The 14,587-nt window shown below is 34.8% G+C and overlaps 1 protein-coding gene and 1 long non-coding RNA gene across 21 annotated transcripts in view; one reads left to right on the top strand and one right to left on the bottom strand.

Annotated features, from left to right (window-relative positions):
- LOC105378311 (uncharacterized) overlaps window positions 1–13,528 on the bottom strand; it is a 169,822-nt gene extending 156,294 nt beyond the window's left edge. Inside the window, exon 1 of the long non-coding RNA NR_134503.1 lies at window positions 13,442–13,528. This is a non-coding gene — a long non-coding RNA (uncharacterized LOC105378311). The remainder of the gene's footprint in view (window positions 1–13,441) is intronic.
- Window positions 1–14,587, top strand: part of PCDH15 (protocadherin related 15) — a 1,825,172-nt gene that overhangs the window by 1,128,185 nt on the left and 682,400 nt on the right. The window lies entirely within an intron of this gene.

Genomic DNA, 14,587 nt, shown 5'->3' with positions numbered 1-14,587 from the left:
TTGGTGTAATGCTAGATAGTTAATTTGAGATCTTTCTAACTTATTGATTGATGCATGTAGTCCTATGAACCTTCCTCTTAACAATGCTTTAGCTGTGTCCCAGAGATTCTGGCATATTGTATCTTTGTTTTCCTTAGTTTCAAATAATTTTTTTTATTTCTGCCTAAATTTTATTGTTTATTCAAAGGTCATTCAGGAGCAAGTTGTTTAATTTCCATATAGTTTTATGGTTTTAAGAGATGTTCTTGGTATTGATTTCTATTTTTGTTGCACTATTGTCTGAGAGGGCAGTTGGTATAATTTTGCTTTTTTTGAATTTGTTGAGAATTGCTTTATAGCTGAGCATGTGGTTGATCTTAGAGTACATTCTGTGTTCAGATGAGAAGGATGCATTTTCCATTGTTATTGTGTGGAGTGTTCTGTAGATGTCTGTTAGGTGCATTTGGTCAAGTGTTGACTCTAGAACCCAAATATCTTTGCTAGTTTTCTACCTCAGTGATCTGTCTAATACTGTCATTGGGGTATTGAAGTCTCCTATTATCATTGTATGTTTATCTAAGTCTCTTCAGAGGTTTCTAAGTACTTGTTTTATTAATCTAGATGCTCCATTGTTGGCTGCTTACATACTTAGAATAGTGATATGGTTTGGATTCTTGTCCCCACCCAAATTTCATGTTGAATTGTAATCCCCAATATTGGAGGAGGGGCCTGGTGGAAGGTGATTGGATCATGGGAGCGGATTTCTCCCTTGCTGTTCTAGTGATAGTGAGTAAGTTCTCATGAGATCTGGTTGTTTAAAAGTGTGTAGTACTTACCCCTTCACTCTCTCTCCTCCTCTGGCCATGTGAGGAAGTGCCTACTTCCCCTTCCATCATGATTGAAAGTTTCCTGGGCCCTCCCAGCCGTGCTTCCTGTATAGCCTGTGGAACCATGAGCCAATTAAACCTCTTTTCTTTATAAATTACCCAGTTTCAGGTATTTCTTTATAGCAGTGCAAGAACAGACTATTACAGATAGTTAAGTCTTCTTGCTGAATTGAATCTTTTATCATTATGTAATGTACTTCTTCATCTTTTTTTTAATAATTGTAGGTTTAAAGACTGTTCTGTCTGTAATAAGAATAGGACCCTTTGCCTCTTCTGTTTTTCATTTCCTTGATAGATATTTCTTCATTCCTTTACTTAGAGCCTATGGGTTTCATTGCATGTTAGATGGTTCTGTTGAAGATAGCATACCATTAGGTCTTGCTTCTTTATCCAACTTGCCATTCTGTGTTTAGCCCATTTACATCCAAGGTCAATATTGATATGTGAGGGTTTTATGTCATCACAGTGTTGTTAGCTGTTTATTAATGTAGAGTGAATTGTATAGTTCCTTTGTAGTGTCAGTGCAGTATGTACTTATGTGCATTCTTGTATTAGCAGGTATTCTTTTCTTTACATGTTTGCCACTCCCTGATGGACCTTTTGTAAGGCAGGTCTGGTGGTTACAATTTCCCTTAACATTTGTTTATTTGAAAAAGATTTTATTCATCCTTCACTTATGAAGCTTAGTTTGGCTGGATATGAAATTTTTAGATGGAATTTCTTTTCTTTAAGTATGCTGTATATAGGACCTCAGTTTGTTCTGGCCTGTAAAGTTTCTGCTGAAATGTCCACTGTTAGCCTAATTGGGTTCCCTTTTTATGTTGCCTTCCCCTCTGTATAGCTTCCTTTAATATTTTTTTTCTTTCATGTTAACCTAGAAGAATCTGATGACTATATATCTTGGCGATAGTCATCTTATATATTCTCTGTCTGGGGTTCTCTGAGTTTCCTAAATTGTCATGTCACCCCCTCTAGCAAGTTGGAGAAATTTTCATAGACAATATTCTCAAATATATTTTCCAAATTTTTTGCTCTCCCTCCAACTCTTTCAGGAATGCCAATGAGTCATAGACTTGGTCTCTTTACATAATCTCATATTTATCAAAAGTTTTGTTCATTTTCTTAATTATTTTTTCTTTATTTTTTTCGGCCTGCATTAATTAGAAGGTACAGTCTTCAAGCCCTGGAGGTTCTTTCCTCAGCTTGGTCCATTCTATTATTAATGCTTTATTATTGTTTCCAATCATATTCTGAAATTGCTGTAGTGAACTTTTTATTTCCAGAGGTTCAGTTTGGTTCTGTCTTAAAATAGCTGTACCATCTTTCAAATATTGGATTGTTTTGCTGCTTTCTTTGGATTTGGTTTCAACCTTCTCCTGTATCTTCCTGAGGTTACATGTCATCGAGATTCCAAATTCTATGTCTGTCATTTTAGCCATTTCAATCTGCATGAGAACCATTGCTGGGGAGTTAGTGCAGTCATTTAGAAGTAAAAAGACACTCTGGGTTTTATAGTCACCAGAATTCTTGTGCTGGTTCTTTCTCAGCTGTGGGGGCTAATGTTCTTTTAATCTTTGAAGTTTCTTTCCTTTGGATGGGGATTTGTGCTTTTATATTGTTTGGTGCCCTTGAGGGTTTTTTTTTTTTTCCTGTGGTACAAATTGGGTTTAGTCAATTGGCTTTCTTTCTTTATGCTTTCAGGGGACTAAAGCTAAGCTCAGCACTCCTGGGCTTCCTGCTCTAACCCTGGATGGCTTGGACCAGGATGTGGCTTTGTTCTCTGGCCCCTTGAGGTCAATTGCTTGATGTGCTGGAAAGGCCAAGATATTCCAAGTCCACTGGCAGTAACACTCCCACAAGTGCTGCCAACAAAAGCACTATGGTCCAGTGCCAGGGGACTGCAGGAGAGTGCACTGCAGTGAGGCGTGGGTTAATAAGTGTTCCTTGGTAATGTGATAATGTGTTTAGGCATACATTACCCTCTCTATGTACAATAATACAGAACGGGTAAAGTTATGGATACAACAAGGGTGGTCGTAAGCTGATAATCTTGAGTTTGGGCAATGGATAAGTGACTGCATTTCATAGTATTTACTATTTTTAAATATATGTTTGAAATTTTTCCATTAAAACTTTTAAAATAAGGGAAGTATTGAGAGGCTGAGATAAGCTCTCTCAAGTTTTAAATTTCTATCATCGCAGTGTTCAGAGTTGAGCTTAGTATAAATGTTGGAGAAAAGGTGAAAACTATTTGGGCATCCTATCACAATTGGTATTCAGATAAAATGCATGAAAAGAAAACCTTCAGAGATGGTAGCTTTATCAAATAAAGGTTTGTTTTGTATAGTTGAATGAACTCTGGAGTGGGCAGCTCTGGGTGATGCAGTGGCTTGATGCTATCACAAATGTCCTAGTATCAGCTTCTCTCTTTCAACTGTGCCATCTTCAATGTGTGACTTGTTTCATGGTTGCAAAATAGTTCCTGTATCTCAAAACCCCAGACCTTAATTTCAGACATTATGAGGAAGGTGGAAGCAGCAAGAAGGAAAGAGTGGTGGTGTCTACATAAAGAAAACAAAACTCTCTCCAAAGGACTTCCTCTCCAGGAAACTGGAAGTTTCCACTTGGAAACTTAGTTTCATGGAAATGTAAATCTAGGAAATGAAATTTTAAATTGAAAAAATTGCCAGCCCCTGACCAAACTGAAGTAATACTAGTGAAGAAGAAAAGAAGAATGCATATTGAGTCGCAGGTAACATAACTATAGTCACCGTTTTGGGTAAAAAACATCCCAAGGCAAACATCTTTCCAAGGATATGTAAAGCACAATCCTCCCATCATATTTCCCCTGTGAGAAACAATAACCTGAAATTTAATCTAGTTTTCATGTTTTACTTGAAGTCCAGAATTTTACCCTTATCTGAAACAGAGTCCTATTCTTAAGATTTCTGAAATGATTTTAAAGTAATAGAGGAATGCTTGTAGATTTTTTATTAAGAAGAGAGCACATTCAGTGGAGTGTGTGAAAGCAAAATCTGACTTGAAAAGGACCAAATAGGAGACTATTGTGAAATCCATTTGAGAGACAAGTAATGTGACATTGAACTCAAAGAGTAGAAAACTAAAGTTTTGGACACAGACCTGAAATAGATCCAGTAAATATTGCATGGATGGGGGAAGATAAGTTAGAGGTGGTTAATAAGAGAGAATCCAAAGGTGATTACAAAGTTTAAATATGAGATGAATAAAAAAGAAAAGCTCCCCATTTGTCCTTTCTCTAACTTTTATTATCTCTATGGAAGGACCAGAGATTATCAAGGGCATTCTTCTCAAGGAAATTATATCCTCTCTTATTTCTGAATGCTACTCTTAAACTTAGAATGTAAATGGTAGTAGCAAATATTGTTTATTCAGTACTTATTATGGATCGAGTTCTATGTAAAACGTGTCAGTATTATCTCATGTAGTTATCACAACAATCTCTTAATAAAGGAGATATATTTTCTTTTATAGATGCAGAAGCTATTTAGAAAAAAATTACACAACAGGGATTTAAACTCAAATTTGCATTGCTACATGAGACATATCTCCTTACTTTATCATACTGCTTCATATACATTATATATAGCCACATATATTTGCACTTTTGCAGATGAGTTATTAACATAAAATCATCTCTAAATTTTAATATGAATGTAGAAATTACATTAGAACATAGGTTGCTTTCTGGGGATCATAGACCATTATTAGCACTTCCCCCCACACCACCTGATTCTCACACTCTGTGCAAGGACAGTAGTTTCAATCCATGACATTTGAATTTTGAAAAGTTTCAGACCCTCAAATACAAAATATTATCTGTATCAACAGAGAAAGAAAAGAGCTGGGGAGAGGAGAGAATGGCTGCTTTAGTTGAAAGCTATCAGAGCATGAACTCCATGCTAAAGTCAAAGGTTGTGGGTTAGACAACTGTAGGGCTGCATAAAGTAGGGCCTCCAGAATTGAGCAATGGATTCAACCCCACCAAGACATCCTCTTTTACTTCTTGTCCTTCCTTGCCTCTGACTTTCCTTGGCTGTGGCCTTCATTTTCAAAGTCAAAAAGAGGAATCTGGATTTAGCAAAGAGAGACCCTATTCAAAAGAATTATTGTGAGGTGAAGAAAGGGACTATTAAAATAGAGAAAAAAACTATGACCATAATATCTGCCAGCCTCACAAGGGTTAGGCAAAAAGGGTATGTCTTTTCTAGGGAGAAGTAGGTAAGGTTATATGTGGCATGAAAGGGTGGCATGATTGGCTGCATCATAGAGCAGAGAAAGTTTTACTCTGCGGCCTACCTAATCTCCGGAGAATTGCTACACTGATTCAGGCTGAAGATGGGTCAAAGTTTAGAGATGTGGCAGAAAGAGAGAAACTTAACCGAAATTGGTTAAAATCTATTTTGTTCCAGTTAATCAGTGGAGAAAAAACAGTTTAGCCAATCATTTATGAGGCAACAATGTGAATTTGGAGGATCTGTGTCTGATCTTTTCATAGATAAAAAAGGGATCCATCTGTGGGTCTTATCTAAGTTGTATGGGAAAGGGTGATTCTTTGCAGTAAGCCATTCTCTGGAATACAAAAGGGTGGGGGAGTTTCTTTTTATTATTATTATTTTATTATTATACTTTTAGGGTACATGTGCACAATGTGCAGGTTAGTTACATATGTATACATGTGCCATGCTGGTGTGCTGCACCCATTAACTCGTCATTTAGCATTAGGTATATCTCCTAATGCTATCCCTCCCCCCTCCCCCTACCCCACAACAATCCCCAGAGTGTGATGTTCCCCTTCCTGTGTCCATGTGTTCTCATTGTTCAATTCCCACCTATGAGTGAGAACATGCAGTGTTTGGTTTTTTGTCCTTGCGATAGTTTACTGAGAATGATGATTTCCGATTTCATCCATGTCCCTACAAAGGACATGAACTCATCATTTTTTATGGCTGTATAGTATTCCATGGTGTATATGTGCCACATTTTCTTAATCCAGTCTATCATTGTTGGATATTTGGATTGGTTCCAAATCTTTGCTATTGTGAATAGTGCCGCAATAAAAATACGTGTGCATGTGTCTTTGTAGCAGCATGATTTCTAGTCCTTTGCTATATACCCAGTAATGGGATGGCTGGGTCAAATGGTATTTCTAGTTCTAGATCCCTGAGGAATCGCCACACTGACTTCCACAATGGCTGAACTAGTTTACAGTCGGGTGGGGGAGTTTCTTAACCTTCATTTTTTTTTTCAGGGTCACTGGATTTGGGTGAAGTTTAAGATTGTCATCTCCCACTCTAGATGTTTTCTCTTTAGAGTGGTTCTCTCCAAACATACACTTTAAAGTTCACAATCAAAGAGCAAAATAGATGTATCCATCTCTTCTAATTTAGAAAATTCTATGCAGGGGTGACAGGATACAATATGCCAATATCTGTGTTCAGTGAAAATAAGGTACTCTGATGTAAAATGCTGGTTTCACTTGGTTGGGTAGGTGTAGGAGGCACCATAATCTATCCATTCTATGAGTTTTGTTTGCCCCCACCCCCAGAGAAATGAAAATACATTAGTCCCCTCTTATCCACAGACAATATATCCCAAGACCCCCAGTGGATGCCTAAGACCATGGATAATACTGAACCCTATTTATACTACATTTTTCCTATACTTATATAACTGTGTGATATGGTTGACTGTGTTCCCACCTAAATCTCATCTTGAATTCCCATGTATTGAGGGAGGGACCCAGTGGGAGGTAATTGAATCATGAGGGCAAGTCTTTCTGGTGCTGTTCTAGTGACAGTGAATAAGTCTCACAAAATTTGATGGTTTTATAAAGAGGAGTTCTCTGCACAAATTCTCTCTCTTTGCCTGCTGCCATCTATGTAAGACATGTCTTGCTCCTCCTTGCCTTCCACCATTATTGTGAGGCCTCTCCAGCCATGTGGAACTGTAAGTCCATTAAACTTCTGTCTTTTGTGAATCGCCCAGTCTCAGGTATGTCTTTATCAGCAGCATGAAAACAGACTAGTACACTGGGATAAAGTTTAATTTATAAATTAAAGGCAGTAAGAGATTAACAACCCTAATAATAAGATTGAACAGTTATAACAATACACTGTAATAAAAGTTATGTGAATGTAGTCTGTCTCTTAAAATACCTTATAGTACTGTACTCATCCTTATTCTTGTGATAAAAAAGGAATGGAGAGGTGTAACAGATTTTATCATGCTACTCAGAATGGCACACAATTTGAAACTTATGACTTGTTTATTTCTAGAATTATCCATTTAATAATTTTGGAACACAGTTGAGTGTAGGCAACTGAAACCATGGAAAGCAAGCACTTGAATAAAGGAGAACTACTGTACAGTTACAAGAAGTAGCAACATAATAAATTACGGACAGCCAAAGACAGTAACTACTATAATCCACCACATTTTATTCATTTATGATCATTCTGAAATTTTACTTTGAATCCTTCACAGCTGTAGAACAATTTACAGAGACCTGAAGACTCACAGTATTTGCCTCAGACAGCTGAGCGTCTTTGACTCTTGAATGTCTCAGCACATCTCTCTACTGGGAGTGGTACAGGTCTTTGTATCTCTCACTTTAGTGCAAAGAGATGAATGTCTGTTCAGGTTGACACGTCTTGCCTCTTTTATTCAGGGAGCCATGTATGATACTGACATTTTAAGCTACTACTTGGAATGTGTTTCACCTTGAATTCTTACGCTACACTTAAGGTTTACAATTTTGCTGTTATTGCAGCTGTCCTTTTAAAGGGAAATAGATTGAGTGGTTATTAAAGAGTTGTAACACTAAATATGAATAACAAATGACATATTACTTTAAATGTGATAATCAGAGGATGTGTAATATAAGTTTGGATCACCGTGGGTGCTTTTGTAACTAACCTTTCCAAACAGGTACAATTAGATTCTCAACTGATTGCAAGGCATTTCTCAATAAGATTTTAACTCTTCATTATGCAGATGAATCAGTAATGAGCAAATAGGGAAACTTTTACCATATATTCCTAAAAGGGATAGCAAAGACCAGAATTTTGACTTTTCAGAAAATATCGTAAAACCTAGTCAGTTTCACTTTGATTTTTACAGATGAGCTTAAAGTAGTAAAAAGCAATTACTACCTGAACATAGATTGATGAATCTTCTCTGTATTGCTCTTAAAAATGAAAAATAAAAAATGATATAAGGGGTTCCAACTACAAGAAATTGTCCCCACTGCTTTCTTTATTTCTTCCCTAGCAATATCAAAGGAATAAGTTAAATTTCTCTTCTTAACCTCTTAAGAACTTATTACTTTCTAATCATCTACTCTATAAACCTAACCTGGGAAGTTACAAGGTAATGTAGTTTTGGTTTCTTAAAACTATGTGGACTGTTGAAGAAAGAACTTAGATACTTGAAAAAGCTATCTTTACATTCAGAATTTTCCAGTTGTTAACTGTGTGAATTTGATCATATTTCTTGGAGTTTCATTTCTTTTTTTTTTTTAACTTTTCTTTCTTTTTTTTTTTGAGACATCATAGGGATAATACTTTGTTAGTGGATTTTGTTAAGAAATTTAAAATATGAGAAGAGACTTGCATGTAACACACAATAACATTTAAAATTCAATCTTCAGCTTTGAACTTGTCCTACAAGATACCCTTTTCTGATAACTTTGAATTGATCCCTTAACTGCTACTGCATTTCTACTACATCTCTCTTAATTTGCTATACTTACCTTCAGAGAAGACTGAATGCTGATAGCTGCCTTTCCCTTATACGTTAGTGCATTTCCTAAAGTTCACATTTGCTGCAGACCATACTGCTGTCACTAAGGAAATATCCCTGGCCAGGGTGGGCTAAAAATTAAACCACCACCCAATGCCATTAAAGCTAATGCATCTGGAGTAACATGTAATTGTTGGGTTTTGGAGCATTACTTCAGTATCTGACTTAAGGAAAGGTGATATTTTTGGAATACACCTATGTAAAATGGTCTCTCCTAATTTTATATCTTCACAAAATCATTTATTTCAGGTAAAAAATAGTAAATTGACAAAAAGCCCTACATATGAAATATTCAGTTAATATGATCAGTATTTTGACTTTTACTAGTCATTGATATTTTTGATGAAGATTTGTAAAATACTCTACTTCAGACATTCTGATTCAGCGGATCGGGTGGGATGGCATATGTGTGTTTTTAAAGTTATACAGCTGATTCTGTTACGTGGCAAAGTTTAAAAACCTGTGATTTACATTTTCAACATAAACTTGAGGACATATCATATGATAACTTTTTTAAAAATTTTTTTATTAAAAAATTATTTATTTTTGAGACATTATTTATTTATTTATTAGTTATTTATTATTTATTTATTTATTTTTGAGACATAGTCTTGCTCTGTCACCCAGGCTGGAGTGCAGTGGCGTGATCTCAGCTCACTGCAAGCTCTGCCTCCCGGGTTCATGCCATTCTCCTGCCTCAGCCTCCCGAGTAGTTGGGACTACAGGCACCCGCCACCACGCCCATCTAATTTTTTGTGTTTTTAATAGAGACAGAGTTTCACCGTGTTAGCCAGGATGGTCTCGATCTCCTGACCTCGTGATTCGCCCGCCTCAGCCTCCCAAAGTGCTGGGATTATAGGCATGAGCCACCATGCTCAGCCATATGCTAACTTTTAAAGTTCCTGTATGAGGAATTAGAAAGTCAAGATGCATTGACAGCCATGCTTGTTCCTCTGGCTGTTAGCCACTCAACATTTCTCTTCAATTAATTATAAAGTGTTCATGTCAGAGAAGCAGAAATATAATCCTAATGCTTTCTCATTTTGAGTTTTCATTTTAGGATCAGATTTATAATTTAATTCTGATCACATGCCAGTTATTGAACTAAACATTTTACCTAGGTGCACTTGTGGATATTATTTTCCTCATTTGAAATTGAAGACAGGACAGTTGAAATCAAGCAAGCAAGCAAGCAAGCAAGCAAATCTTAACCTGGCAAAGACAGAATTAAATGGCTATGGCAAATTTATTAGAGGACCAACACATAAGGATAAAGAATAGTAAGATCTATTAAGGTATAATATATATTTAGTCATAAGGGTATTTAGTAATTATGTTCTGAGGTTAAAAATAAGTATAAGGATATTTATAAATCTCCAGAATGTAGTCTCCAGAATATGTATATGTACATCTCTCTCTTCTCTCTAATGTATGCCTGTATGTGTGTATGATGTATGTATTTCAGAGACTCTACACTCCAGAGAATTATCAATATATGTTTTTCCTGAACAAAACTATCTTAGAGAAGGCTTTTGTTTAACAACTCCTCTTGTAGCTCTCATCATAGTGTTGAGCTATGTAAGAAATGAGGAGCATATCCAACAACTATAATTATTTTCAGCATTACTCTTTTTTATAGAGTAAAAGACAAACATTTGTGATTTTTCTGTGATCATCTGAGATATCACGAAGATAGTATTAGGTATAAAAGGCACACTAAATTGTATTTTTCTAAATTTAGGAATTAATTTTGAGAAGAAAATGTCAAGAGTTATCAGAGGGATCTATTCACTTGATTAGAATATTAATATCAGTATTTGAGAACAATAAAAGGTCATGGCTTGAATACAAGTTAATCAAGGGAAAATACAATATTTTAAATAAACAGAAAGTATTAACCCAATTTAATGGTATCTTAGCTCCTTCAGAATTGATTGATCCAGGGCATAATAAATTCAGCACAACACACAGGAAACAACTCTGGTGAGCCATTCATGTCAGAAGGTTACATGGAAGGAAAATAATTATTATATATTGTTAAAATCAGACTAAGTAATTCAAGATTAATTTATTATTTCAATAGAAATAGTCTAATTTTGCGCTGTTAATATTTGGCAGTAAAAGATTCACAAGCTTCTTTATGCTTTCAGTATTAACTGACCAACCATGAAAACTAACCTACTCTTGGGAAAATTTTAACATATTCTACTACATTTTTTGAGATTCCTTATTTTTTGATATTATAATCTAAGATAATTAAATTCTCGTTTCCAAAAACTATGACTTCCTGTATTTGCTTAGGTTTTATCATTTACTATTCTATTTCACATCTGAAAATAACTGATACTTCACTTTAGGATAAAACTGCTCTCATTTTCCCTTAATAAACAAAAGTGCATTATCTTTCTTTTCATACACAATTCTTCTTATCTGCCAGTACTGATTCTAGTATATTTTAAATTACCCATATTAACATAATTTTTAGTATTTAACTTCTACATCATGGAGTGAAATGGGGTTTAGATTTGTCTAACACTACAGCTATGCTAATGAATACATATAGTATGATATCTGACGGCCATACACATTTTTTTTTTTACCATACCTTAAAAAGGCAAACATTAAGACATTTTCAAACACGGCCCTAAGTTATTGCTACTCTATAACATGTAAAAATAAGAATCAAAGGAATGTATGTCAAAATTACGCTGGTAACCAATATTTTAATATTCTACTTTAGTTAAAAATAATCCAAGTATCCAATTAATTTGGGTTTAATATAAGTTCAAAACTATATTCCATTACTATAAAAATGTTTCTTAAAATTATAATCTAATTTGATTGAAAACATAGTTTTAAATTTATTTTACTTATATGTGAAAGTAATGTTAGCTCAATAGTAAAACAGTATGAAAAGTTTAGGAATTTCATATTAACTCGTCTTTTAGTGAGAAAAATACACATTATATTTTAAAATAAAATTTATAATTATCTTTTGCTGTTCTCTTCTAAAATCAAGGAAAAAGGATACAGTTTCTTTAAAACCCAGGTTATCAAACTAGTCTAATTTGTCAAAAGCTTCACTTTGATCACGTGACCTTGATTTATTTTAGAAAAAATGCTTATCAGCATTTTGCATAAGAAAACAGTTTTGTGTATATATGCATTTTTATTGTTTGTTTAAAATGAAAGGCTAGGACATTACAATATTAGTTTAGTTCCTTTACTATCTGGGTTTAGCCTACAAAACCATATTATTTACTTATATTTATAGCAACTTCTAACAACTTTTGACTATGACTTTAAGAGGAGAAGGGGACTTGATTAATGTGTGGATCCTTTTAGAAAACTGTATAGTTAATAACCTTTAGAAGTAATTGATAGATATTGATGTACGGATAGATCTATAGAGATATTTTATATCAGTTATATAAATCTAGATAGAAAATTTCCTTTGTAGTTATTTTGACTGAAAGACACCACTCATGAGTACTTAAATAAACCTCATAAAGCTAATAAGGGAAAAGTTGTAATTTTAGTGATTTATTTTTATTTGTATAAATTTATGTGACAACAGTGTAATTTTGCTACATGAACACATTGGGTAGTGGTGAAGTCAGGGCTTTTAGTGTATCCGTCACCAGAATAACACACACTTGTATACATTAATTAATTTCCCATGGTGAACCCCAATCCCATTCTTCACCCTTCTGAGTCTCCATTTTCAATCATTCCACACTTTACGTCCATGTGTACACATTATTTAGCTCCCATTTTTAAGTGAAAACATGTGATATTTGTCTTTCTGTGTTTTAGTTGTTTCACTTAAGATTATGGCCTGTAGTTCCTTCCATGTTGCTGCAAAGAAATCATTTCCTTCCTTTTTATGGCTGAATAGTATTCCATTATGCATATATCCTTTTAAAATACTCTGACTTTTTAAATACAAACTATTTATTATATGGCTTAGCTTCTTGAAATATAGAACCTCCCAAATATATAATAATGACAAGTATGAATGGCAGTTTGCGTTTTATGAAAGAAGTCTAGATATATGAAACCAGCAGCTAGTACTGCAGCTCTCTGAAGACCTCATTAACTCACCTTCCTCCCAGATCAACATTATTCCATGGCCACGGTCTAATCCTTAATCTCATGGTCTATAATGGCTGCTTAAACTGGAATCATTAAAGTAGAGTCCCAAGAAAGAGAATGGAGAGAAGAAGAAAAGGGCAAGCCCCTGTTCCCCCAAAGATGCTTTCTGGAAGTTTTATATAGCACTATAAATACATTTAAGTAGTTAGAACTCAGTCCTAACATCACAAATAACTGAGCAGAGAATGGAAGGTTTTACAGTCTTTTAGACTTACAAAAAAAATCAAGATTTTTACTGCTAACAAGAAAGGAAAAAAAATCAGTGTACAGGAAGGAGCAGTATTTTAAAAAGAAAGAAAGAAAAGAAAGGAAGGAAGGAAGGGAAAGGAAGAAAGAAAGGAAGAATGAACATATTTGGGAATAACTAGTAGCCTCTACTATGTGAAATTAATAGATCTAAGTTTAATATAACTGTATGTAAATTACTTAATTATACATCATAAGTACAAATGTGATTCAAAAAGGCAAATTATCTGAAATATTTTAAGAATATAAAATAGTAAATATTGATAGATTTCAAATATCCATACTCTAATATGATTCTCTTAAATATGTATATGCTTAGTTCTAAATCTTACCAGGATGAAAATGAGCACCTGTTAAGGAAAGTCTTGGGAGCATAGTGCTTCTGATTACCTCTCTGGGCAATGCTTCCAGTTTCTGTCTTAGCTTAATGGAGTTGTTAATGACTAGCAGGGCCCTGCCCAAGCTACTGACTGAATTGTTCTCTGTGACGCTGGTGGGACTCACTGATTCCCATTTATGGTAACTATATCAATGTGGCTTCACAGTCTTTATTGCTTAGATTCAAATTACTAACACCTGGTTAGTCTGACTGCTCATGGAAGATAAAAGTCAGCAAACTCCATCCTCAACGTTACATCATTGACTAGATTTTTAAATTGATGCCACTGAAAAGTTACTTAAACATCTTTTCATAAAACTGTTAGAGATCAACACCTCTCATGGCTTTGTCTTTGCCCCAACTTCTAATATTATTTCACTACAAAAGAGCTTTAAAGAATTTATTCAAGTTCTTTGTTGCCAGGCTATGCCTCGAGAATTTATTTTGCCAGATTTATGGATAAACCAGAAGTCTTGTTTCAGAACTCAATGTGAATTGCACACACGCATATGGATGCTCCCTGCTGAAGGCTAGACTTTTGAAAAATAAATGGCTAAAAACTCGTGATCTGTATAAAGGTAAAAAGCAACTCCATCTGTCCTGCTTAGACTAGGCTGAAATTCTCCAGCTTGTGTCTTCTCATGAATATATCACAGTTGAAGTCTAGCAACTGGCTAATATCTAGCTTCATGAAAAACAAAAATAGTAGCCTGTTGTTTTTGGCTTTCAGGGAGCAGAGATGAAGGTCCTTCCAGAAGGAGACAAATTTGAAATGTAGCAAGCATTATGCAATTATACTTTGCTCTTATTTTGTATCCTAAATATTAAATATAAGTAACTCCATTCTTTTCTTAGTATCCAACTTTGGCCTTACTTTGATATGCTGCTTACAAAAGGAAAAGAGGCTCAATTGCTTGGCTGAGGAGCTAGATCCCCATATGACGTATTTTGGAACACTTTTCTAGAAACACATTTTTAGTTAAAGGGGTCCTTTGATTTTCTAGGGTAAAATGAAAGTTTCTGGTATATAGAAAGTCGGAGATTTTTTTTTATTGCTCAAAACTTTTGACATAGTGTCAGCACTATTAGCAGGGATTAC

The sequence above is a fragment of the Homo sapiens genome, chromosome 10, assembly GCF_000001405.40.
Source record: "Homo sapiens chromosome 10, GRCh38.p14 Primary Assembly".
Taxonomy (NCBI): domain Eukaryota; kingdom Metazoa; phylum Chordata; class Mammalia; order Primates; family Hominidae; genus Homo; species Homo sapiens.
The sequence above is the reverse complement of the archived record's forward strand: the minus strand, read 5'-3'. Positions and strand labels throughout refer to the sequence as shown.